General features: G+C 41.2%; 1 protein-coding gene and 1 pseudogene across 1 annotated transcript in view, besides 5 other annotated features; one reads left to right on the top strand and one right to left on the bottom strand.

The window, feature by feature from the left end:
- Positions 1–18,305, bottom strand: part of CAPZA2 (capping actin protein of muscle Z-line subunit alpha 2) — a 59,463-nt gene extending 41,158 nt beyond the window's left edge. The window contains exon 1 of the mRNA NM_006136.3: positions 18,242–18,305. Within this exon, the coding sequence (NP_006127.1) occupies positions 18,242–18,280 (39 nt within the window). The 5' untranslated portion in view covers positions 18,281–18,305. The remainder of the gene's footprint in view (positions 1–18,241) is intronic.
- On the top strand, positions 6,085–7,431 carry LOC100418716 (RAB11 binding and LisH domain, coiled-coil and HEAT repeat containing pseudogene; annotated as a pseudogene).
- Positions 17,818–18,557: a silencer, noted in NCBI's record as "silent region_18563". NCBI's record gives its function as "represses an Ori minimal core promoter by ATAC-STARR-seq in GM12878 lymphoblastoid cells {active_cell/tissue: GM12878}" and the evidence as "EXISTENCE:reporter gene assay evidence [ECO:0000049][PMID:35858748]".
- Positions 17,818–18,687: a biological region, named in NCBI's record as "H3K27ac hESC enhancer GRCh37_chr7:116502260-116503022".
- Positions 17,924–18,686: an enhancer, noted in NCBI's record as "H3K27ac hESC enhancer chr7:116502260-116503022 (GRCh37/hg19 assembly coordinates)". NCBI's record gives its function as "activates a minimal SCP1, AML or CMV promoter by ChIP-STARR-seq in naive H9 embryonic stem cells {active_cell/tissue: H9 hESC(naive)}" and the evidence as "EXISTENCE:reporter gene assay evidence [ECO:0000049][PMID:30033119]".
- Positions 18,638–18,687: an enhancer, noted in NCBI's record as "active region_26538". NCBI's record gives its function as "activates an Ori minimal core promoter by ATAC-STARR-seq in GM12878 lymphoblastoid cells {active_cell/tissue: GM12878}" and the evidence as "EXISTENCE:reporter gene assay evidence [ECO:0000049][PMID:35858748]".
- Positions 23,344–24,001: an enhancer, noted in NCBI's record as "OCT4-NANOG hESC enhancer chr7:116496945-116497602 (GRCh37/hg19 assembly coordinates)". NCBI's record gives its function as "activates a minimal SCP1, AML or CMV promoter by ChIP-STARR-seq in primed H9 embryonic stem cells {active_cell/tissue: H9 hESC(primed)}" and the evidence as "EXISTENCE:reporter gene assay evidence [ECO:0000049][PMID:30033119]".

Below are 25,822 nucleotides of genomic sequence, written 5' to 3'. Positions count from 1 at the left end.
ACTAAAAAATACAAAAATTAGCCAGGTGTGGTACTGGACACCTGTAATCCCAGCTACTCAGGAGGCTGAGGCAGGAGAATCGCTTGAACCTGGGAGGATGCAGTGAGCCGTATCACACCACTGCACTCCAGCCTGGGCGACAGAGCAAGACTGTCTCAAAAAAAAAAAAAAAAAAAAAAAAAAAAAAAAAAAAAAGGCAGGTTACAGTGGCTCATGCCTATAATCCCAGCACTTTGGGAGGCCGAGGCGGGTGGATCACTTGAGGTCAGGAGTTCAAGACCAGCCTGCCCAACACGGTAAAAAACCGTTTCTACTAAAATACAAAAATTAGCTGGGCACGGTGGCAGGTGCCTGTAATCCCAGCTACTTGGGAGGCTGAGGCAGGAGAATTGCTTGAATCCGGGAGGCAGAGGTTGCAGTGAGCCGAGATCACGCTATTGCACTCCAGCCTGGGCAACACAGTGAGACTCCCTCTCAAAAAACAAAAACAAAAACAAATTCTAGTAGGCATTGCTGCAGTTCACAATGAGCCATCATCCCCTTAAAATCAAGTTAAATAATTCTGGATTAAATAGAGGATTCTAATTACTTGAGTTCTGATTAATTAAAATGTAAGTTTACAATTATTTGAACCAACTCATGATTTTTGAAACTCAAAAATAAACTGTTCTAGTTTAGACTTTATAATAAAGCAAGACAAATGAGTACTTTTTTGATATGGCATCTATGGTTAAATATATTTACCTTCATTTACTTTAAAAAAAAATTGGCCAACTTTCCAGGCCCTCTGCTTTCAAAATCCTCAAAGTGTAGCACTGACTTAGTCTGGGAAGAAAAAAAAATCAATCAGAGCGGGAGAAACTGCCTATATACTCCCATATCTGAGTGCTTAGAATGGTGCCTGGCAAATAGCAGACCCTCAAATATTAGCTGAATAAATAAACATTAAATCTCCCTTCAAGGCAGAATCTGTTTCCTCTGCCCCATACTCTGTACTCAGTAGCTACTGATTACAGGTTGAATAAATCTATAAGCACGAATAAATTCCTATTTATTCAAAATGGTGAGGGAATGTAGTATTTCAATGAAATGAACATTTTGAGAGTTATCACTAATGCAATTCTGTAGATCAGGGGTCCCCAAACCCCAGGCCACAGACAGGTACCAGTCTGGGGCCTGTTAGGAACCCGGTCACACAGCAGGGAGGTGAGGAGTGGGCAAGCAAGCATTACCACCTGCACTCTGTCTCCTGTCAGATCAGCAGCAGCATGAGATTCTCATAGGAATGCACACCCTATTGTGAACTGTGTATGCGAGGGATCTAGTTTGTGCACTCCTTATGAGAATCTAATTAATGTCTGATGATCTGAGGTGGAAAAGTTTCATCCCAAAACATTCCCCCATCCATCCCCACCCCGCTATCCCCTGTGGAAAAATTGTCTTCCATGAAATGGGTCCCTGGTGCCAAAAAGGCTGGGGACTGCTGCTGTAGATAGATTGTTAATTTTCAAATAATTTACATTCAAAAATCACAAAAACTTATCCTAATAAAAAGAAACAGTTTGGTGTAATGGTTTACAGTATGATCTCTGGAGCCAGACTGACCCAGGCTGGATTTCTAACCTCTACTAGTCATTAGCGATGTGACCTTGGGTGAATAAATAATATTAGCTATTATTATTAGCAGCAATAGCAGTAGATAAGAAGTATGCCTGCATTAGCATAGTCCCAGTATTCTTTTCTTTTTTTTTTTTTTTTTTTTTTTTTGAGACAGAGTTATGCTCTGTCGCCAGGCTGGAGTGCAGTGGCACGATCTCCGCTCACTGCAACCTCTGCCTCCTGGGTTCAAGTGATTCTCCTGCCTCAGCCTCCTGAGTAGCTAGGATTACAGGCACGTGCCACCATGCCCGGCTAATTTTTGTATTTTTAGCAGAGATGGGGTTTCATCATGTTGGTCAGGCTGGTCTCAAACTCCCGACCTCGTGATCCACCAGCCTTGGCCTCCCAAAGTGCTGGGATTACAGGTGTGAGCCACCACGCCTGGCCAATATTCTTAAATATAGACCTGGAATACAGACATTTTCAAGTGATTATATGTTAGTTTCTTTGTGTCCTACACTGTTCAAGAGTGGCTTATGCCCATGTATTACTGTGTTGTCTGCAGTGCATTCACTTCCCATACATCAACATCCTTTCTTCTTACTTGGGATGTCACCCTTCCCCCTCCACTTGACCCTGCTCACTTCAAACACCAGTAATAGCAACACAGGAGAGAAAGATGGTGGCAATGCGCAGTTAAGATGTGGGGCTTTACATAAGTAAAGGCAAATGATCTGTAGCCAAGATTTTGTTTCTATTTTAACTTCTGTAAACCTCAGTTTTCAAAGGTAAAAACTAAGGGAGATGACATGCATCATTATTTCTCAACTCTTATACCTCAGGCCCTAATAAAATATTATCTATGATTATTCTGATATAGCTGATATTACCCTTAATTTATGAAAGAGAAAACAGAGATCCAGAATTAAGATCTGAATGAAGTCTCTGGATGAAGTCCTCAGCTTTTTACATAGCTGCCTCCCAATACAGCGTAAGTCTTCTATGACGATTCTTTTGTGAGGAACAAAATAAATCTCTAGGTAATCCATTTCCATTGCTTCCATCATCACCACACAGTAACTCTCAAATGTACACACCTATCATAACCTCATTCAAGACAAAGATCCTATCCTTTTTCTAACTATAATTTATCTATTAGAGATCTCCATCAAAATGCCTCAAAGATACCTTGAACTTATCATTCAAATGTATTGCCTTCTGTTCTGATAAAATTATTGCCACTACTTAGAAATCATTCCGCACTTCTCTCCTACAGTCAGTCACATGATCAGCGAGTGTCTCTTGCTCAAGTCCATTCCCCTTTTATTTGATTCCATTCCATTTTATTCAGACCCAGGCACTTTGTTTCTGGATTGTTATAAAGCTGTCCTGCCTCTGGCCTCATCTTTCTCCAAAATTCATTTTCCACCTTGCCACCAGACTGGTATTTTTCAATGCAAATTCTGATTTTTCTTCCCTGTCAAGATCACTCGATGGTTCCCCAATGCCAACAAGATTAAGTTCAAAATCTTTAGCATGATATATAAGGCTCTTCTAAGGCTGTAAAATATTAACTGTTAACAGCAAAAGCTCTTAAATAACATTAAGCAGGGATTCAGACTACAGCTCCACTGCTTACTACCTGCATGACCTTAAGCAAACTAAATTCAGTTTCCTCACTAGCAGTAAATGAGATAATACACTTAGAAAAGTGCTTGGCACAGAGCAAGCACTCAAATAATGGCTATTACTACCTTTGCAATCTTTCTGCCACTTTCTAGCTCCTACAACCTATCCATTCTTTCTCATCCCACATATACACAGAACTGGAGCCTTATCACTCCATTAGGTCTCTCAAACAAGAACTCTCGTCTTCCCGCTTGCCATATCACTTCATATACATGATTTGGCCATCTTTTTATCTACTGTGGTGAAACTGCACACAGCAGCAGAATATCTTAAACTTTGCAAAGTATCAGAAGAAAAGGTCATACAGAAAGGAAAACTCTAAGATCAAATTATACTATTAAAAACTTCTTGGTATATTATTTAGTACAGCAATCATTAGCAAATACCTTTGATAACTGGCTAGCACTATTGAGACTTGCGGTTTAAAGACTAAAATTAAGGCTCAATATTACGTGTGCCTTGACACTTAGGGAAAACAGGGAGAGCCCTGAATGGCCTAACTGCAAGTTCTCCTCACTCTGCTCCCACAGATAAGGTCCCCTAGCCAAACAATCTTTTATCACAGGGAACAGACACAGTTCCTTCTTATCTCTGAGTAGCAAGCTTTGGGTCCCGGCCAGCCCTTGGAATTATCAAACAATGAATGGATCACGTCCTGAGAACCAGGGATCACTCCACCCTCTTGATACTTACTAAAGTCTGCCTCCTACAGCCCCTGACTGTTCACTCCGTCCTCAAGCACAACTCCCATGTGGGCCTGCGTGGTGTGCTGTCTCCTCTCTCCTGGGCTGCTGAGTATTTGTGATTAATAAACTGCTGTCAATCTCATCTGTCCAGTGTCAGGTTTTGTATGTTCTGTCAACCTCCCAATTCCAGGGCAAGAACCCCTCCCTCACCAATGGAATGAAGAGGAGGCAATTAAAACAAGATCTCACTTACCTTACCGGTGAAGCCTGAATTTAAGATATGTAACTGGGGACATATCAAGGCACACAGGAAGCAAGGAATTCAGATACTCAAAAATATGTTTTAAGAAAGCAAATAAGGTCTAAAAGCAAATATAGTCTAAACATTAGAAGAGAACATGAGATTCTCCACAGATCATATTATTTTTATCTCAGACATAAATTTACAAGTGTGATTATCTAGTTTCCTATCAGCCAATGGATGTGAAGGGAGGAGAGAAGTGGTTGACATACAACAACGTTTTAACTAAGGAAGATCTGAGCCAACCTGACAAAGGCTGCAGAAAATGAAGTTCCTTCATAGGAACGAAAACATTAGAAACTGAGCCCTGAAATTCAGGAGCCAGTCAAACCTCTTGAGTGCTCTAAACTTTTTTTTTTTTTTTTTTGAGATGGAGTCTCTCTCTGTCACCCAGGCTGGAGTGCAGCGGCGCGAACTCCGCTCACTGCAAGCTCCGCCTCCTGGGTTCACACCATTCTCCTGTCTCAGCCTCCTGAGTAGCTGGGACTACAGGTGCCTGCCACCACACCAGGCTAATTTTTGTATTTTTAGTAGAGACGGGGTTTCACTGTGTTAGCCAGGATGGTCTCGATCTCCTGATCTCGTGATCCGCCCGCCTCGGCCTCCCAAAGTGCTGGGATTACAGGCATCAGCCACCGCGCCCGGCCTCTAAACTTCTATGTAACTGAATTTTTATTGAAGAATCCAAGTTTACATCAATAAATACCTCAGATGAAAATAATGATCAGAACTTTGAGTTACGGGATAACATAAACATTTTAAAATGTCCAATTTGGCCAGGTGCCATGGCTTACACCTGTAAAATCCCAACACTTTGGGAGGCTGGGATGGGAGGATCACTTGAGTCCAGCCTGGTCAACATGGTGAGATCCTGTATCTACAAAAAATTTAAAAAAAAAAAAATTAGCCAGGCATGATGGTGAGCACCTGTGGTCCCAGCAACTTGGGAGGCTGAGATGGGAGGAGCACTTGAACCTGGGAGGTCAAGGATACAGTGAACCATGACTGTGAAACTACACTCCAGCTTGGCTGACAGAGCAAGACCCTGTCTCAAAAACAAAAAATAAAAAAAAAAAACCCTCCAATTTATTGCAAATCTACTGAGACTTTGGAAGTGATCAAGTAACTGGGAAAGATTTTATGGATATTGCTAGTGGAGTGAAAGAAAATGAATTAGAAGCTCTTATATCAATTTTAGGCAATCTTCTTTCACTTGTTTCTACTCCTCAACCTGTAGAGAACTCCTTGTTAGTACACAAATTGGGAAGATAAAATTAATTTATTAAATAGTGAGAAATGTTCTTTGATGGAGCAAATTAGAAGACCTAAAATGGCCATCCTCAAAAATGAACACTTTGCCATTTGGTAGTTTGTGATTCCATTCAACCTTCTTTGGAATCCCTACAAGACTCTGAAGAAAATGAACAGATTTCAGTCATAAACAGTTCAGGCAAGGAAAGAAAAAAAAAAAAGGATATTCATCTTTCAAAACCAGATAATGTTGATTCCACTTTTTTTGTGGGGGGAGGGATGGGGTCTCACTCTGTTGCCCAGACTTGGAGTATACTGGTACCATCCCCGCTCACTGCAACCTCCACTTCCTGGGCTTGAGTGATTCTCCCACCTCAGCCTCCCAAGTAGCTGGGATTACAGGTGAGCACCACCATACCTGGCTAATTTTTGTATTTTTAGTAGAGACGGGGTTTCTCCATGTTGGCCAGAATGATCTCGAACTGCTGACCTCAAGTGATCCACCCACCTTGGCCTCCCAAAGTGCTGGGATTACAGGCATGAGCCACCGTGCCCAGCCTAATTCCATTATTCTTAGAGAGAATTCCCCAGTCCCTTCCCTTAGGAGAGAAAGGAAAGAATGCTGTTTTCTCCATCAAGTAAAAGCACAGTTCACTTTGATAAACCCCACAGGAAACTGTCTTCTGCTTTCCACTATGCACTACTTTCTTTTTGTCAAGTGTCAGGAGATGCTGCTTAGGATCAGAAGTGTCTCTGACTGCAGTGAAAAACACCTTCTGCTGATGCTTGGATATTGCTTGCTATACATTGCACTTGACGTGCTGCTGGCAAAGACAGAGACACTGATGCCCTCAGATTGTATACAACGTGCCTACATCTTGAATCTAAAAAGAAAAATCAGCTTCTCCACATTCTTTCTAGTATGATCAAGAGGCCAGATAAAGAGCCAAGGCAAGTGATACTAACTGGTGTTACGGCATTCACACATCATGTCGGACCAACACATGCAGAAGCCGAACATTTACCACAGTGATGGGAAGAGGTGAGTCACAAAGACCCAAAAAGGACACTACTTGTAGCTAAATCCTGTGGAGTAGTGGTGCCTTACTTTCCTCAAGAAGTTCCTAACTCCCTGGTCCTCCTTAAATGGAAGGTAAAGCATATTTGATATGAGAAGCTGTGATCAAAAGCCTTGGTATCATTATGGGATACCCTGATGAACCAGGCAAGTATCAGCAGGTTTTTGAATTGTTGCCTTTGGCCTTGAGTGATATCTCAGAAAAAGTAGTGAGTGCAAAACATCTAGTACTTTTAATGGCCTATGATACTTGGAATATGGAATTTGGAAATGTACAATCTTACACCTACATTGCTGAATAAGACTGAAAAACTTATCAGGGAAAGAGAACAAAGGGAAGGAGGGCTGGATGAACATAAGCTTCACATGTATCTTTCTGCCTTGCAATCCTTGACTGTGTCACTCTTTGCATTAATGGTACAGAATGTACCTTTCTCAAGCAAAGACAAGCTCCATGGTGAAGTACCACAGGTGGAAGTGACTGGGTTCCCTCAGCCTATGTCACCTCTTCAAGATGTGTTTATTACTGGAAGTCAGAAGCAATTGGTAGTGCTACTTCAGTTTTATAATTACCATCTAGAACATGAGGGTACAACGTGAGAGTTTACTGTGGGTTGTCAATCATTACCACAATTTACAGAAATAGATGGCAAAATTAATGTTACTTCACCTGCTTATGTCCATGAATTCTCCAGATTGTTCTAGTGCCTTTGCTGAACATTTGGCAACATGTTTTCAAACACTAAGGTAAAACTTGAGTTCCAGGAGATTTTAAAACTGTCTGAAGAAAACAATTCCTTAACAGGAAATAGAGTCCTCACCAAAGCAGCTATAAAAATGGTAAACTAACAAAAATTAAAAAAAATTTTTTTAAACCTTAAGCAAGGTTTAAAGGAGATGAAAGTATAAAAAGCAGACAATGTATGTGCATGGTAGCACACAGACATACATGTACACACATACACACCACCAAAAAACAACAACAAAAAACAAAACCCCCAAACAGCCATCTAGAGCCATTAAATTTAGAAGCAAAGGACCCTGCACTCTCCAGCAGTCCAAAGGTACACTACTATGGGAAATAGCTATACTAAAAATGACTCACCGTTTAGCTTAAATTCAAATTTACTGAGGCATCAGTATTTTATCTGAGAATCCTACCTAGAGCCCCTATAATTTCCACATGGTATGGGCCGCCATGATCAAGGAAGGAGACATTAGGGTAGGAATTTTTCAGATATGAACGGCAGTCAGACTCACCTGGAAAGCTTGGAAAAAATACAGATTCCCACCCTCTATTCCAGACCCAGTGAATCTATCTCCAGAGAATGGGGACCTAGAAATCTATGTTTTAGAAAATCTCTCCACGTGATTCTGAAAGGTGACCAGATATTGCACCCATGCCCTAAGGGACTTCAGATGTAAAATTTGAAGTGTCTAGTCTTCTTGAGAAATGACTTATAGGTTTTACTTGATTCTCAAGAAAATGTAACACCAAAAAGGGTCACTGCTTTAGACACTGGTAGTAAAATTAAAGGAGCCACTATGCACTTTTCCACTTCAACTAAAAGAATTATTTGAAGTTGTCTTCCACAGCTCTCTAAAAAATGGCTATGTCTTTTGAGAATTAGAGGTAAAACCGGAGGAAAAAACCACTTTTTTGAACTTTATGACATTTAAATAGTTTATGACCAAGTGATCACTATCACATGTCTGTGTGTCAGGTGAATTTATCTTAATATGGGTAAACTTAAGAGTGGTAATTTGTTTTAATAAGTTTTCCTCTAAATTTTTTTCCTTTATAATTATCATTTTGATTGGTAATTAAAAACAGGGCCCACAGCACTTAACCTGAAACTGGGTCATCTAAAGAACTCAACATTGATTCTTCTTTAAATATGTTTTTACCATTTATTTAAAATATGAAGAAACCCATGAATCCAAAGTAGGCATTATCATCAACTAAAAGAAAGTAAGTTATGTAAACTATTCTTTATCTTACGTTTTCAATTTCCTTTTCCCTTCTGAATCATTTCCCTTATACACCCTAGAATGTTCTCTTACAAAAAAAAAGTATTCTTAAAATGAAATAGCAGGAAAAAACAAAGTAGTAATACATATTTTTCTCTTTTGTTTCACTACCAATTTTTTTCAAGAATAATTTGTACTTACTGTCTCCACTCCTCATCCTTTAGTCAACATTTATTGAGCCCCTAATACAGTGATACAGTGAGACTCAATCCTAGTTGCACATTCAGATCACCTGGGAAGCTTTAAAACAACAACAACAACAACAACAAAAAGGAATTACAGACACTCCAGGCCTCACCCACAAGAGGAGCCTGTGCGTTCATTTTGTTTATAAACTCTCCAGTTGATTCTAATGTGCAGCCAGAGTTGAAAATCACTGATTTAATACAGGCTAGGCGCTCTACTGGAATTACAAAGATGGTGAAGACATAAGGCCTGGCCCTGAAGAACACAGGAAATAAGGACAACAGGTAAATTTATTAAAACTGGTAAATGTTATAACAAAGATAAGTACAAATTGCTTAGGGAGCAGAGGTATGTCAGGATACAAAAGAAGAGAAGAAAGTCCTTGAGTCTGGTTATCCAAAGATGAGTAGTTTACAAGGCAAACAAGACTGAAATGCCGTTTCTGGAAAAGGGAAAATACACACATACTTTTTATTATAGACTCCAGTTATCTGGCTTATGTCTCTCCACTCCTTGCTCCAAACACTAGTAAAATTATTCTCTTGAAGGCCACTAATCCCTAGTCCACCACTTAAACAGCCTTAACTGCACCAGTTTCCTGTCTGTACAATGAAGATAATAACAAGGTTATTCTGACAATTAATAGAGAGAATACATGTTAAAGTCCCTGGCATAGAGTAGGTATAATTTGTTTCTCATTCCTTTCTCTTAAATCCAAAGGCTTTTTTCAATCTCATACTCCTTAATCTCTGCAACACTGAGCACCGCTCCTTCTTGAAATTCTCGTCACATTCTGTGACCTCAGCACCTACTCTGTGCTAGCTATCAGTAGGTAACACTTCGACCTCAAGGGTTTCTCCTCACCTTTAGGTCTCTCTCCACTTCTTATTCCTCAAATCAAAGTATAAAGTATACGCTTCCTGCCCTCTCCTCTTTCCCATGTCTAAGCTTTTTGTCCTAAAGGGCTTATCCCATCTCGCTTTAACCCACAAAAAGAGGATTCTCAAATCTCTATATAATCTCTGGAGCTGACCTCTTTTCCAAGCTGTTTCTCTATCTCCGTATCTGCTAGGCATTTTCACATAGACAATGACTAGCATCTCAAACTCCGTACAACCAAAACTAAATTCACCATTATTCCTCCCAGCTGTGTATCCTCTTTCCTGTGTTCTCCAGTTGTTACTAGTGGTACCAATTCCCAGTCATCCAGACTTTAATGTTCACAGTTTTCTCTGACTCACGCCTTTCCCCTATATTCATTTATCAAGTCTTCTTGATTCCAACTCTAAAATCTATTGGCGATCTTTTTTTCCTCCATTTCTTGTGGGACGAACTTAAACCAGGTCCTAAAGTCCACTTAAGCCAGGTTCTCAACTGTTCTTACCAGCTCTAATCTATCTAGACTCATGGGTCTCAACAAGGGGTGAATCTGTCCACCAGGAGACATTCTGGATTGGTAAGCCTGGGTTATGGTAGTGGCATATCATGTGGGCTAAGGATGTTGCTAAACACCCTACAACGCACAGCATGTCCACCTGCCCAACAATATCTGGCCCAAACTGTCAACATTGATGAGATGGAAAAACCCTGACAGTCAGCTGTTAAACAGCACAATTCACCTTTGCATCTCTTATTGTAAAAGTACCAAATATAGAGTAGACACTCAACTATTTAACTGAATTCTTTTTACACAAAACTCACTGCCTGCTTGTTCCCACTTTCCTGTTATTTTTCCCTATGTTGTGCTCTCTGGTATGAGCTTGACCCCAACTGATGTTTACCATACCCCTAGGCAGAAGTAGCTTTTCTATCTTCTAAATTTTTAGACCCAATTTAGTATGTATATTACATATGTCCAATTCCTCTTCGAATCTAGTTTTGCATTATATCTACCTTCCAGGTGATCGCTACACTTTAGTGAATTTAAAACTTAATCTATGCTGTCATTACTGCTATTCACAAATATTCCAATTCTCCTCTTCTGCCCTGACCTTTCTGAAATTAGGTTTATACATGTAACTTGCTTTAGCTAATTGAAATCTGAGCAGAAGTGACGTGAGCTCCTTCCAGCTACTCGGAAGGCTGAGGCAGGAGAATTGCCTGAACCCGGGAGGCAGAGGTTGCAGTGAGCCGAGATTGTGCCACTGCACTCAAGCCTAGGTGACAGAGTAACACTCCGTCTCAAAAAAACAAAACAAAACAAAAAAAACAAGTGTGCAATTCATTCCATTTCCTTCCCACCACTGCAGTGACTGAGAAGAAAGTTTAGATGGAAGCTCTCTAACCAACTGGAACGCTAAATTACTTCCCTGAGCAGGGCTCTCTGCTAACTCACGCTAGACATACATGGAATGAATGAGATGCAGTACAAAGCCTCCACATTCAACACCCTTGTGCTGAGATTTTAGGAGTTTTGTTACTGAACTATATCCTTGCCTATCCTGATTCACAATCAATATAAGATGCATAACTTTATGTACCACTAAACAAGGAAAAACGCTACCAATGAAATATTACAACCCATTGATTGTACAATGCAGCCTGATTTCAGAGATCTTAAAATATAAAAAAGTATCAGTACTGAAATCAGTGAAATGTGGTATATTTAGTAAATGAATGAAGATGGAGGTAAATGGATTTCAAAAGTCATTTCCAGTAGAAACACTGCGAATTAGAATGTATAAGAAAAGTTCTCAGTCATTAGATGCATAGTGAAACATGTAAATATGTCATAAGAGCAAGAATGCAAAAACTATACTTAATCCTCAAAATAAAATTTATGAAATTCTTTTTTGAAACAGCCATGGGTATTTTCATGGAACCTGTCAGAGAGTGGTTTTCAGAAGACAAAGACCCCATTTTCTTTGATATGCATGAATCTCCTATTTAACAAATTATTGCTATAATAACTTTAACAAATTTTTGCTTCAGGTGACTGATTAGGCTTTTAGGTCATAGCTTGGAACCACAGATCCAAGTTTTGCCATCCTGCTTTTCAACCTTAAAAATTATTTTAGATTCTCTGCTCTAAGTGTTTTCATATCTGTATTCTCACACTAACATGCAATTATTCTATCTATTCAACTACTCATGCAAAAATGGCTCCCAAATGCACTGAAAATTTACTACAAATTTACTTTAATGTACAAAGTCTGAAAAACTCCACTAATGCTACAGCTGCTATCAAGTTCCTGTCTGCAACAGAAGTTTTTACACTTTATTGGTGAAATAACATAATTTATCTATAGAATAGAATTAGGAATGAATATTGTCCACATTAATAGCTTTTTGCTTGAGTTTACCTTCTCAATAATAAGAATTTTTTTTTAAACTTTTTGAGATGGAGTCTTGCTCTATTGCCCAGGCTGGAATGCAGTGGTGCGATCACCGCTCACTGCAACATCCACCTCCCGGGTCCAAGCGATTCTCCTGCCTCGGCCTCCCGAGTAGCTGGGACTACAGGTGCACGACACCACGCCCAGCTAATTTTTTGTACTTTTAGTACAGACAGGGTTTCACCATGTTGGCCAGGCTGGTCTCAAACTCCGGACCTCAGGTGATCCACCTGCCTCAGCCTCCCAAAGTGCTGGGGTTACAGGTGTGAGTCACCGCGCCCAGCCAATAAAAACATTTCTAATTTTACATTAATATTATGAAATACAATGGCAGCTTATATTGTTTTTACACACACAAAATTTCTGAAGCCAGTCACTGAGGGAGAAGTATATAAACTGCAGGTACAGCCATCCTATTCATCACATGGTAGAGTAACAACAGATGCTAAAGATGACATTATGTCTCCACTTAGGAATTCCAATGGAAAAGGGAAAAAACGGTAAGCAAATAACTATTACGCAAAATTGTATTTAATACTAACGATCTCTTGAAGAGTTCAGATGAGAGGCTAAACTAGCTGTGTAATCTAAGCTAAATCTTGAGAGATGACTGAGATTTTCATGTTTCAAAAAAGGGGACAGACCTGGGAGCAGTACCAACACTCAAAGTAGATGAAAAGTCATGAGCAGAGAAAAATAACTACCATTTATTGTGCGCTTACTACATGCCAAGCCCATTTAGACTTACAACAACTTAATGAAGAAGGTACTTACTACAACATTCTAACATTTCAGAGCAAACTGAGGCTGAGAGATTAAATAATTTATCTGAGGTGCTAGAAATGGACCAGTGGCTGGGAGTGGTCGCTCACGCCTGTAATCCCAGCACTTTAGGAGGCCAAAGCTGGCAGATCACCTGAGCTCAGGAGTTCCAGACCAGCCTGGGCAACATAGCGAAACCCTGTCTCCACTAAAAACACAAAAATTAGCTAGGGACGCAGGTGTGTGCCTGTAGTCCCAGCTACTCAGGAGGCTAAGACAGGAGAATTGCTTGGGCCTGGGAGACAGAGGTTGCAGTGAGCCGAGATCGTGCCACTGCACTGCAGCCTGGGTGACAGAGTGAGAATCTGTCTCAAAAAAAAAAAAAAAAAAAGAGAGAGAAATGGACTAGTATGCAGCTCTCTGAAGTCTCTCTAAATTCACAGCACGATTAAGTAACAATACGTATTGAAAATGTCAGAACTATTTAGGTTAAAATGGAATACAAGGCCATGAATACCATTTTAAGAACTTGGCTTCCTTGTAAAGGCAATGGAGGATCCAGGCACTAAAATTTTGAGAGTAGAGAAATGACAAAGTAAAGCATGGCTTAGATACAGGAAACAGGAGGGATTAGTCTAGAAATTTTCTAGTAAAAGCCTAACAGTGGCAAATATAACAGAAGGGAAAGAACAGATATGAGACATTTTTCTTGACTTTACTTCTTAACTGTTGGCACAGAACAAGTATAATCAAGTTGCATTCTGTTTGTACAGTGAAATTTTGTTACCAAACATTATTTAACAATCAGGTCAATGCAGAGATAATAAACGAAGTATTAATATAAATGAATTAACTTTTCAAGCAAGAAATAAGTTATTTGTATAATACATATTTTGACGATGGAAGTGACAACTTTTACCAGTTGATTGTAAGGTACAGGGCCAAAAAAAGTTAGAATAAATCTGAAATTAAAAACCAGGATGACTGGAATAATGGGAATAAAGATATAAAGAGAAAAATTATCAAGAGTAGATTATACCCCCCTTTGTGTGAGAGGAAAGAAGATGGGCGTTTATAAATTTACTTCTAGGCAAGCTCCATTTGAACATACCTAATTAACCATCTCCAGTGAACATGAATAGCAGATAAAAATCTGACCAGTAATCAGGAAAGAAGTTAGTGCTACAGCTATGTACCTGGGAGACAACTGCAAAGACCTAAAAGTTGAAGCTATGGGACAGATTATTGTAATCACTGAGGTAAAGGGTTACAGGAAGAAAAACGATCTTTCCCATCAGTAACTAAGTGTATTCCTTCTGGAACTTGAATCTCTTATCCAGAGAGAGGTTTCGGAATGGGTCTTTTCAATTGAGCCTTACACCATAATTTCATACAATTTCAAATTCACAAAAATGCTTTACTGTACAATACAGCTGACCCAGGAATGAAAATGAACTGTTTTTGGCCTAGGGTTTCTGTAACTATGTAAAAAAGTCTATGGGAGGCCGGGCACGGTGGCTCACGCCTGTAATCCCAGCACTTTGGGAGGCCGAGGCGGGTGGATCACGAGGTCAGGAGATTGAGACCATCCTGGCTAACACGGTGAAACCCCGTCTCTACTAAAAATACAAAAAATTAGCCGGGCGCGGTGGCAGGCGCCTGTAGTCCCAGCTACTCGGGAGGCTGAGGCAGGAGAATGGCGTGAACCCAGGAGGCGGAGCTTGCAGTGAGCCGAGATACCGCCTGGGTGAAAGAGCGAGACTCCGTCTCAAAAAAAAAAAAAAAAAGTCTATGGGACACACTATAGCAAGTTAAGAGCTTTAAAGAACTTCATTGTGTTCTTCAGCTAAATTTATTTCCCATTCACCCAGTGGCCAAAGGAGAAAAGGTTATTAAACTTCATAGTAGTATCCTCAAAAAGCAATTGTGTATGATTTTAAAAAACAAAACTATTATTCTAGATTGATTTCTAAAATGCTTCCTATCAGTAACATAACACCTTTAAATGTGTTAATAATAAGCTTTATTCTAAAATCATCAAGACAAAAATTTAGAACCTAACACTATTTGCTTGGTATTACTTTTTAAAAAAGGGCTAGGAATCATGGCTCATGCCCGTAATCCCAGCACTTTAGGATGCCCAAGTGGGAGGATCGTTTGAGCCAGGAGTGTGAGACCACCCTGGACAACATCGTGAGACCTTGTCTCTACAAAAAATTTTTTTAAATTTGCTGGGTGTCCTGGCACACCTGCCTGTACTCCCAGCTACTTGGGGAGACTGAGGTGAGAGGACTGCTTGAGCCCAGGAAGTTGAGGCTGCAGTGAGCCATGATCACCACTGCACTCCAGCCTGGGTGGACAGAGTGAGACCCTGTCTAAGGAAGAATCAACGTTTCTCCTTTTTCAAAATAAGCTGTCAACAAATTAAAAATGAAGAGACAAAACCAGAAGAGGTTCTTATCAATTTTGTTTAAGAAAGCATAATGTCTGCTGGGCATGGTGGCTCACGCCTGTAATCCCAGCACTTTGGGAGGCCGAGGGGGGTGGATCACCTGAGGTCAGGAGTTCAAGACCAGCCTGGGCAACATAGCGAAACCCCGTCTCTACTAAAAATACAAAAATTAGCTGGGCATGGTGGCATGTGCCAGTTATCCCAGCTACTCGGGAGGCTGAGGCAGAAGAATCGCTTCAGCCCCGGAGGCAGAGGTTGCAGTGAGCCAAGATTGCACCACTGCACTCCAGCCTGCGTGACAGAGTGGGACTCTGTATCAAAAAAAAAAAAAAAAAAAAAAAAAAGAAGAGAGCGCATAATGTCACAAGAACATCAACGTTGGACTAAGACAAACTTTAAATACTACCTTCATCTTGACCGTCCTTGGGTGAACTACTTAAAGCTTTTGAACCTCACTCTACTCATCTGTGAAATGGTAATAGAACTACCTCTTACAACAACAAATTAAGTAATGAATGTATCTAACTGAGCCAAGCATATATAAAGTATGGTACTAGACACATCTTAACAGCTTCTCTTCCTTAAATTTGCAATCTAGAATGGAAATTTCAAAAACTTAAAAGTATTCAAAACTTAATATTTTTTTTTAGAGATGAGGTCTCGCTATGTTACCAGGCTGGTCTACAACTCCTGGGCTCAAGCGATCCTCCACACCTTGGCATCCAGAGTAGTTGGCATTACAGGTGCAAACCACCGTGCCCAGCTTAAGAGCTTATTTTTGAAAATTACCAATAAGGCAGTAGAACGAGTAATATTAAAATATCACTTTTAAGTCCTCTCTGTTTTCTGATCCCATACTGGACACATCCTCCTCCCCCAAAATGAAAATAACCTTTAGATATCTCAAGTGACAAGAACGTTAAAATTTCACTTTACTGGTTACTTGAATTTAACCTAAAGGTTTTGTCAGTTTTTAAATTAGTAAATATAGTGATAAAATTTATATGTAAAATATCTACATAATATTCTTACAAAACATCAAAAATCAAATTAGAATTTTCATTCATTTAACCATAAAACATTTTGCTACTAGGCGGCACAGGCTTTAAGACACACAACCTCCTCATTCCTCTTTATGAAGCTTAGTGCCCTGAGAGTGCCAGATAATAAGGCATCTTGTTATCTCATTTTTAAAAAACTTTTTTATTTTAGGCCTTTACAACACATGGCAGGTCTATATTAACTCCCACACCGAGTAGTCTCTCTTCAGCTAGATTTCTAGCCACTTGAGCTACTAATCATCACTTAAGAATGGTAGAATAAAAACACGACAATCTCTTTTTAAGCTTTTTAGCACGCCTCAATTTTAAATATGTTTGTGCACTCCTGTACACTTTCAGTCACCTAAATAAAATAGGATTATTTATCAAGATTATACATTGAATACTGTACAGCAACTTTTGTGGATACGGGGATCTGCCTACTGGGTCTGTGGGCTATGGAGACGTTGCTCGCCCCCATTTTGTTGTTGTATTATCACTTTCACCGAAGAACACAAGAGAAAAAAAGATTTCCGAAAATAAAGATGAGGCTGACTTCTGACCATTCACATTGGGAATGGGACAGAACCTTCTATTTCGGTGCAAGAACACAGCATATAAAAACATCTAGAGCAGAGGGTCCTAAATGAAAATATCCTCAGACTTACATGAAGATTTCTTAAACACCACAACATACCTAAATGTACCTGTATTTTCCTGCACTGGCTTTGAAATTTAAAAATGAAGCACTCTTTAACGAAGAGTGGACATTTCCAACCCTGCAACTAACTCATTCCTATGTTCTGTCAGTTACTTCTAAGGGTCCTTTCCGAGAAACAGTCAAAATTAGCAGGGTTCTCCCCTACCCCACCACCCTCGGGAATGGGACGTTCCCAAAAGCCAAACGAAAGGGGCGAATTAAGAGAGCAGCAGTTCAATGAATTATTCCATTACTCGTTTTAAATATCTGAGAACTTAAGTCGTTCATCTGGTTCCATTGCTGTCACAGCATCTAATATACAGTAAAAGGAGTTGCACATTTTCCCCTCTTCGGAAGAAGTCCTAGCAGGAAAGTGAGGTGCCACCAAATCGACCCCCGGGGGGGGGCTGCTGCCAACGTGGGCAGAAAACAACTATGGGGAGGGGGTCGTCTTTTTGTGAGCAACTCCGCTGCCTCCTGGGGAACATGGGAGCTGCAAGCTTACTGCTAGAGCCACGAAAGGAAAGAGAGAAGGAGGGAGAGATGCCTCCATGGGGAAAGGGAAAAAAAAGGATAAACCGTAGAGGATCAGAAAAGGAAGCATTTTGCTTTGAGGAGGGGGAAGTAGAAGGGAGAAGTGAAGGTCTGCTTCCTAAGCGATTTTTCCCTTCCCCTCACCCGCCGCTACACTCACAGGCCAGGCCGCCGCGCTGGGCACTGCCCTTGGGCCGCTCCCACGCACGGACGCAAACCCCTTTGCGTCCCTGGTCCCCGGTCCCCGGCCCCGGCGGAGGCCCCGCGGCCCGACAGCAGGAGAGGGTCCTGGGCAGCCGCCGCCCTCCCCCGCGCCCGCGCCCCCGCCCGCCGTCGCCCGGCTCCCGCTTCCTATTTTCGGAGTACACACCCTACAAGGAGCGGAGCGAGCAGGCCTGGCAGAGACCTGCCCCCGCGCGGGGCCTCGGGTGACGGACAGGGGCAGGCACTGGGCGCAGTAAGGATGGGGGAGGAAGGGCAGCCGAGGGCAAGGCCAGCTGCGGGCCAATGCCCTTCCCCCGCGACCAGACTCCGGGCCCACCCGCCCGGGCTGAGCCGGCTCCTGACAGCCCGCGCCGTCGCCCCCGCGACTCTTACCTTCTCTTCATCAGACAACTGCTCCTCCAGATCCGCCATCTTCCTTCTGGCGACAAACCGCGGCGGCGGCGGCGGCAGCGGCCACCTGACTTCCCCGTTTCCGTGCGGTCCTCAGCGCCGCGCGCCCCCGCTAAGGGAGGGGCCCGCCGCTCAGGCCGCCGCGCACGCGCACCCCGGGAGCCCCGCCTCCCTCGACCCGGCCCTCGCGGACTGAGCGCGGCTGTGCGCGTGCGCGGGCGCCTGGTGGCCGGGCGGGGGACCGTGTCTCGCTGGGCCGCCTGCTGCAGGCTTGCTAGCATCTTGAGTGCAGCGTGCTCTCCCCACTGTGACCATATGGGCTCAGTCTGCGATGAGTACATTCTGAGCCCTTCGTTATGTTTCCATCAAGTCCTGAACTCTGCCAGCTAAAATGTGAAAAGGTGTACAAATAGAAGCCTTTTAAACATTGTTTTTTCAAATATTAGAGAAGATAGTTGGCTTTCATTAAAATACACATCACGACCCTCTCCATAATTGAAAGATTGCTCTTGATATACTCCTTTATTCATCCAACAAATATTTTTTGGTTCTTTAACGGGGTGCGGGGCACTGTGTTAGTCTCTGGGGATACAGTGTTGAGGGGGAAAAAAGCAAGCTAGACATACATGTTCATAGCAGCACAATTCGCAATTGCAAAGAGATGGAACCAACCTAAGTGTCCATCAACCAATGAGTGGATAGAGCAAATGTGGGTATATACACCATGGAATACTACTCAGCCATAAAAAGGAACGAAATAATGCCTTTTGCAGCAACTTGGAAGGAGCTGGAGGCCATTATTCTAAGTGAAGTAACTCAGGAATGGGAAACCAAATATTTTATGTTCTCACTTATAAGTGGGAGCTAAGCTATGTGGGTTCAAAGGCATAAGAATGATAAAATGGACTTTGGGGACTGGGGAGGGGATAAATTACTACGTATTGGGTACAGGGTACACTGCTCAGGTGATGGGTGCACTAAAATCTCAGAAGTTACCGCTAAAGGACTTATCCATGTTACCAAAAATCCACCTGTATTCCAAAACTGTTGAAATAAAAAGAGAAACTTCCATACTCAAGAAGCTCATTTTCTACTCATTAAACAAACATATATTGAACAGTTGGGGCCGGGCGCGGTAGCTCAGGCCTGTAATCCCAGCAATTTGGGAGGCCTCCGTGGGCAGATCATCTGAGGTCAGGAGTTCGTGACCAGATTGGCCAACATGAAGAAACCCCGTCTCTACTAAAAATACAAAAATTATCCGGGGCGTGGTGGCGCATACCTGTAATACCAGCTACTCGGGAGGCTGAGGCAGGAGAGTTGCAGAAGTCATTGCAACCCGAGAGGCGGAGGTTGTCCCTGTCCCTGCAACCCGGGAGACGGAGGTTGCAGTCAGCCGAGGTCGCGCCACTGTACTCCAGCCTGGGTGACAGAGCAAGACTCTGTCTCAAAAAGCAAAACAAAAAAAAACAAAAACAGTTGGGGAAGGCACTGTACTATTCCAGGGGAATACAAAGCTATGTTAGACATGGATCCTACCCTCCTGAATAGGTTTGCCATATTAAATATAGGACACTTAATCAAATGTGAATTGCAGATAAGCAATCTTTTAAAAAGTATGTCCCATGAAGCAGTGGAGACATACTTAAACCAAAAAATTACTCATTGTTTTCAAATTTTACTGGACATCCTTTACTTTTATTTGCTAAATCTAGCAACCCTGCTTTTGAAGCTTGAAGTTTATGAGAGATTAAACATGTAATCAAAGCTGCGTAGATATGAATCAATTGGGAATCTTGTGAAAACGAAGTTGTTAATTCAATAGATGTGGCATGAGACTGGAGAATCTGTATTCTCCAGAATACAGCCTGTAGAATAACAGGCTCCCAGCTGATGCCAGTGCTCCTGATCTGGAGACCACATTTTGAGTGGTAAGGCCTTAGGGTTTAAGATAGGCGTTCAGATTCCGTGAGGAACTGTTGAGAACTTTTGAACAGTGACATGACATGATCAGAAATATGTGCAGCAAGATGAATCTGACAGCTGCACATAAATGAAATGTGAGAGTATCAAATAAATGTTCAGAGGCAAGACCTTATTATTAAGTAATTTATTGGGTGTTCATAATGTGCAAATCATTGTTTTTTGTGAATGGACGGCAAACAGAAGCTATGATATTGAAAAACTGATGGTTCATTTGGGGAGAGAAGAGGAAGGAGAAGCATGCTGACACATGCAGAAAAAAGCAGGTGTCCTTTCGAGGATAAACGTTGTGAAGAAGATAAAGAGAATAAACCACATAGTTTAACCAAGGGTAACACTGGATGAAAATTAACATGTTTACTCTTATAGATTACAAATCATTGCTTCATTGATTTCTCACTGCAACCTCAAGTGAGGTTCTTATCAGTACCATTATACCCATTTTACAGAAGAAAAAAATGAGGCTAAATGATTTAAGATTGCATAGATCCCAGCACTTTGGGAGGCAGAGGTGGGCAGATCACCTGAGGTCAGGAGTTTGAGACCAGCCTGGCCAACATGAGGAAACCCTGTCTCTACTAAAAATACAAAAATTAGCTGGGCGTGGTGGCTCACACCTGTAATCCCAGCTACTTGGGAGGCTGAGGCAAGAGAATCACTTGAACCCAGGAGGCGGAGGTTGCCTGGGCAACAAGAGCAAAACTCCATCTAAAAAAAAAAAAAAAAAGAAAGAAAGAAAGAAAGAAAGAAAGAAAGAAAGAAAGAAAGAAAGAAAAAGATTGCATAGCTCCTAAGTGACCGAGCTGGGATTGGAACCTAGGCATCTTATTTTATATTTCATGTTCTTTCCACTGCAAGATTTTTCTTTCTTCCTCTTAAGTCTGGGCACTGTCCACCAAATAAAACTTAATGAAGGCAATTACTATCCCATCCTGTAAATTCAATTCACCACCCTGTGCTGCATCAGCAGTACTTCTGGTTTTGTTTTTTTTCCTGTCTTTTTTCCTGTTTACTCAGCAACACCTATATTAGTATTTTGTATACAGTGGATACTCAGCAAATATTATTGCTTGATTAATTGGCTGCTCTCTTCCTCTAGAAACCTCACCCAAATATGGTAATGTTTTGCAATAATTTGAGTCAGAGTGTGTTTATAATTGTAACCTTAGTGATACAATACATGTGGTTTCCCATAGTGACACAACCCACAATTATGTATAATTTCTGATAATCTTTTCAGTAATCTTCCAATACCACCCTCTTGGTACAATTAAAAGGAATTCTAAAATTTGCGTAGCCTATGTATTCTAGAAAGATTTTAAGCTGTCACACAAATAGGTAAAATATGAAATTATTGTTATATGACTGCAAGGAAAAATGTACTGGTAGTCTTGGATAATCAGTTGTTTTATGAGGAGGAGAAAATAAACAAAATATTTATCCTATACATGATTTTACCTACTAAGAATTTCTACCCTTTTCTTAATTAATTTCCAAACTTACTTCTCTTCTTTTTGTTTTTGGCTGTTTTTTGTTTTTGTTTTTTTTTTTGAGACACAGTCTCGCTCTGTTGCCCAGGCTGGAGTTCTGTGTCATGATCTCGGCTCACTGCAACCTCTGCCTCCCAGGTTCAAGCTATTCTCCTGCCTCAGCCTCCCGAGTAGCTGGGACTACAGGCACCTGCCATCATGCCCAGCTAATTTTTGTATTTTTAGTAGAGATGGAGTTTCACCATGTTGGCCAGGCTGGTCTCGAACTCCTGACCTTGTGGTCCACCCACCTTGGCCTCCCAAAGTGCTGGGATTACAGGTGTGAGCCACCACGCCTGGCCAAACTTACCTTTCTTCTGCTTATTCATGGTCTGATCTTGGTCTTTCCAATTAACATCACCAGAATTTTTCTTCCTTTTATAGTGTTTGTTTTTAAGTTACTTGTATACTTTTACATCGATTTTCCTATGGATATACTCGAATTATTCAACTACGTTTTAAACTTGTCAAGACCAGTGGTTACCCAATTTCACAGAAAAACAATCTTAGGGTGCATCTACTACAAACCTCTCTCTTTACAGATGAGTTGAGCCTTAGATAAATAAATGACATAATAAAAATTGCACATCTAGCTAATATTATTTTAGGATCCAAGTATCCTGATGGTCAGACTCATGTTCTTTTATGTACATATCCATACCAAATAATGTAAAATAAGATGAATAATAGTATTACTGTGTGATCATTAAGTGATTGTACCAGATATAGACTTCTATAGTACCATCTCTGCACCAGAAAACTAACATCTGCAGCTTAAAATTTGACTTACCTCGCTTCTGAGAAAAACTATCAGTGTTAGACAACTAACATTTGGTTGTTTGTTAATGTCATGGTCAATTAACACAACTGGTCTCAAGTAAAGTCCTTTATGGCTGTGGAAAAGTGTAAAAACTCATATATTTTAAAAGTAATTATCTTTCTAAACAAATAATTGCTTAAGTTATTTATAGTTGAGTGTATACCTGCGGTCCATTTCCTCAGCTAGTTTTGAAAAGGTACACACAAGTAGTGCCCCTGGAGAAGCCTGACGTAGATCATTCTAGAGTTACTCAGGAATTATTGAAGACCTTCTTCTTCTTTTTCTTTTTCTTTTTTTCTTTTTTTTTGTTTTTGAGATGGAGTCTTGCCTTGCTCTCTTGCCAGGCTGGAGTGCCGGGCTGCCATCTCTGCTCACTACAATCTCTGCCTCCCAGGTTCAAGTGATTCTTCTGCCTCAGCCTCCTGAGTAGCTGGGATTATAGGTGTGTGCCACCACACCCGGCTAATTTTTGTATTTTTAGTAGAGACGGGGTTTCACCATGTTGGCCAGGATGGTCTCGATCTCCTGACCTCATGATTCACCAGCCTCAGCCTCCCAAAGTGCTGGGATTACAGGCGTGAGCCACCACGCCCAGCCAACACTTCTTTTTCAACCCCTCCTCCGTCCCGAACGTGCTATCCTTCCTAATTTCCTTCCTACCAACCTCACCAGACCCACCTCTGCCACTGCCCCTGAATGCATATGTCATTGAAACACACAAAGCTGCATATATATCATATGCTCTCAGGCTTCTGTCAAAGCTTTCTGGAATGTTGTTTGCTACCTATCCTTTAAAATTCTGTTATCGGTTTTCTTTGAAACTCTCATTGAATCCTCTAGCTAAGCTAATAATTTCTTCTAGATTACCATAGAAACTTTTCCATTGATTTTTGTTGTATATACCAGTGATGAGGTATACAGATTTTATCATCACTAAATCCTGGATTCTGATCTTCGTTCTAGCTCTAGTTAACCTTAAGGAACTTACTCTGCAGGCTTGCATTTCTTCATCTATACATTAGGGATAACAATAGTACCACCTTTGTAGGGCTGCTGTGAGGATTTAACAAGACAATGCAGGCAAAGTGCTTAGCACACAGTGCAGGCCTTAGTAAAAGTCTCAATAAATATTAGCTATTATCATCATATTATAATACCAATTTGGTCTTTAAGGACATGTCTGGCACATACAATGTCTGGCAAATAAATGCTTAAAAAAGCTTTGTTGGAATGCATATTGATTAAACGACACTTTTATTTCGCATCCCTAAATGAGAGCTGAAAAGTTGATTTAGCAACACATACGGGATTTAGAGATTGTTCTAAAATGTGGACTGGGGACTCCAGAATGGGAAAGTGAACAATTTTTTCCCAAAAACCTCAAAATCATACCAATATCTCCAAGTCTTTACTACTCCATATTCAGTCACCACTTAAATATCTCCCTAGTTGATTTCTTACTCTTTAATTCTCCTGTCACTATAAGTTCAAGCCTTTAGTATCTTCATACCATGTCCCAAACAAAGTACAGGGGACAGGGAGTATTCAAAATGATCCTTTAGGGTGAAGCAAGGAAATACTAAAGCTTGTATTTTCTTCTGCTTTTTTTTTTTTTTTTTTTTGGAGACAAGACTTGCTCTGTCACCCAAGCTGGAGTGCAGCAGCGTGATCATAGCTCACTGTAGCCTCCATCTCCTGGGCTCAAGTGATCCTCCCACCTCAGCCACCTGACTAGTTGGGACTACAGGCGTGCAACACCACACCTGGCAAGTTTTTAAAATTTTTCGTAGACAGGGGGTTTTGCTATGTTGCCTAGGCTAGTCTTGAATTCCTGAACTCAAGTGATCTTTCCTGCCTCAGCCTCCCAAAGTGCTGGGATTACAGGCAGGAACCCCCATGCCTGGCCTCTATTTTCATTTACTTATTTGAATTATTGTTACACAACATTTCAGGCATACAAAAAAGCATGGTTTAATTCTTCCAGTTCCCATTCCCTTTTCTTCTTCCTTCAGGTAACCACCAACCTGAATCTCATGTTTATCATTTCCACGTATGTTGCTTCTTTTTCAACACAGGAACACTCCTTTTTATCTGCCTAATGTGGTACCTAACTTTAAAAATATTTATGAGGCTGGGCATGGTAGCTCACGCTTGTAATCCCAGCACTTTGGGATACTGAGGCGGTCGGATCACCTGAGGTCGGGAGTTCGAGACCAGCCTGACCAACATGGAGAAAACCCGCCTCTATTAAAAGTACAAAATCATCTGGGTGTGGTGGCACATGCCCGTAATCCCAGCTACTCAGGAGGCTGAGGCAGGAGAATTGCCTGAACCCGGGAGGCAGAGGTTGCTATGAGCCGAGATCGTGCCATTGCACTCCAGCCTGGGCAACGAGGGCAAAACTCTGTCTCAAAAAAAGAAAGAAAGAAAGAGAGAGAGAGAAAGGAAGGAAGAAAGAAGGAAAGAAAGAAAGAAAGAAAGAAAGAAAGAAAGAAAGAAAGAAAGAAAGAAAGGAATTTTTTTGCATATTTTTGTAAACAACATGGATAGAGATCTTTAGACTAATTACTGTCTTTTTAAAAATCTCCCTATATGGCAGTGTAAATTGTGGGGCATAAATGAAAAGATAAGTCAGACTCTTGACCTGGAAAGATGAAGCAACACAATGCATAGATTTGCTGGTAGGGAGTGAAAAGACAGATCCAGTATCTTTACTTTTTTTACCTTTAATGTCTGACAGTACTTTTAACTTTTATTTGGACTCAGTAATAGCAGATAGCAGTGTAGCAGAAAATGAAGTTTGTGGTTTATCTTTCCCCAAGCCACACCAACCTCCAATACAATTATATTTCTCTAACTCAGGTCAAGCCCAAGGAATTGCAGGAGCACCCACACAAATGCCTTCCTTTTGGCTGTTTGGGGATGCCACAGTGATTCATTTGCATTCAAAATTGCTCACACTGCTGTCCTTTTCTGTCCTTTGACATTGGCCTTTATCATCTCTGAGCTTTCTTTCATCAGACCTCTCCCGTTGTTACAGCTCTAAAATCTGTCCTGATGCTCCTCTCCTGGGACACAGGGCTCTGTGCTCATATCACCTCATCTTCTCCTTGTGGGATTAGCTGCTTCTATTGCAGGTAGGCTCTGGCCATCCCCAGCAGTTGTCCCAGGCTGTGTTGTGGGGGCCCAGGTTTTTGTGGTCTTCTTCTGATGGATAGAGCTGCAGCAGAC

The sequence above is a fragment of the Homo sapiens genome, chromosome 7, assembly GCF_000001405.40.
Source record: "Homo sapiens chromosome 7, GRCh38.p14 Primary Assembly".
In the NCBI taxonomy this organism is placed as follows: Eukaryota; Metazoa; Chordata; class Mammalia; order Primates; family Hominidae; genus Homo; species Homo sapiens.
Note: the sequence above shows the minus strand (reverse complement) of the source record. Positions and strands in the feature narration are given on the sequence as shown.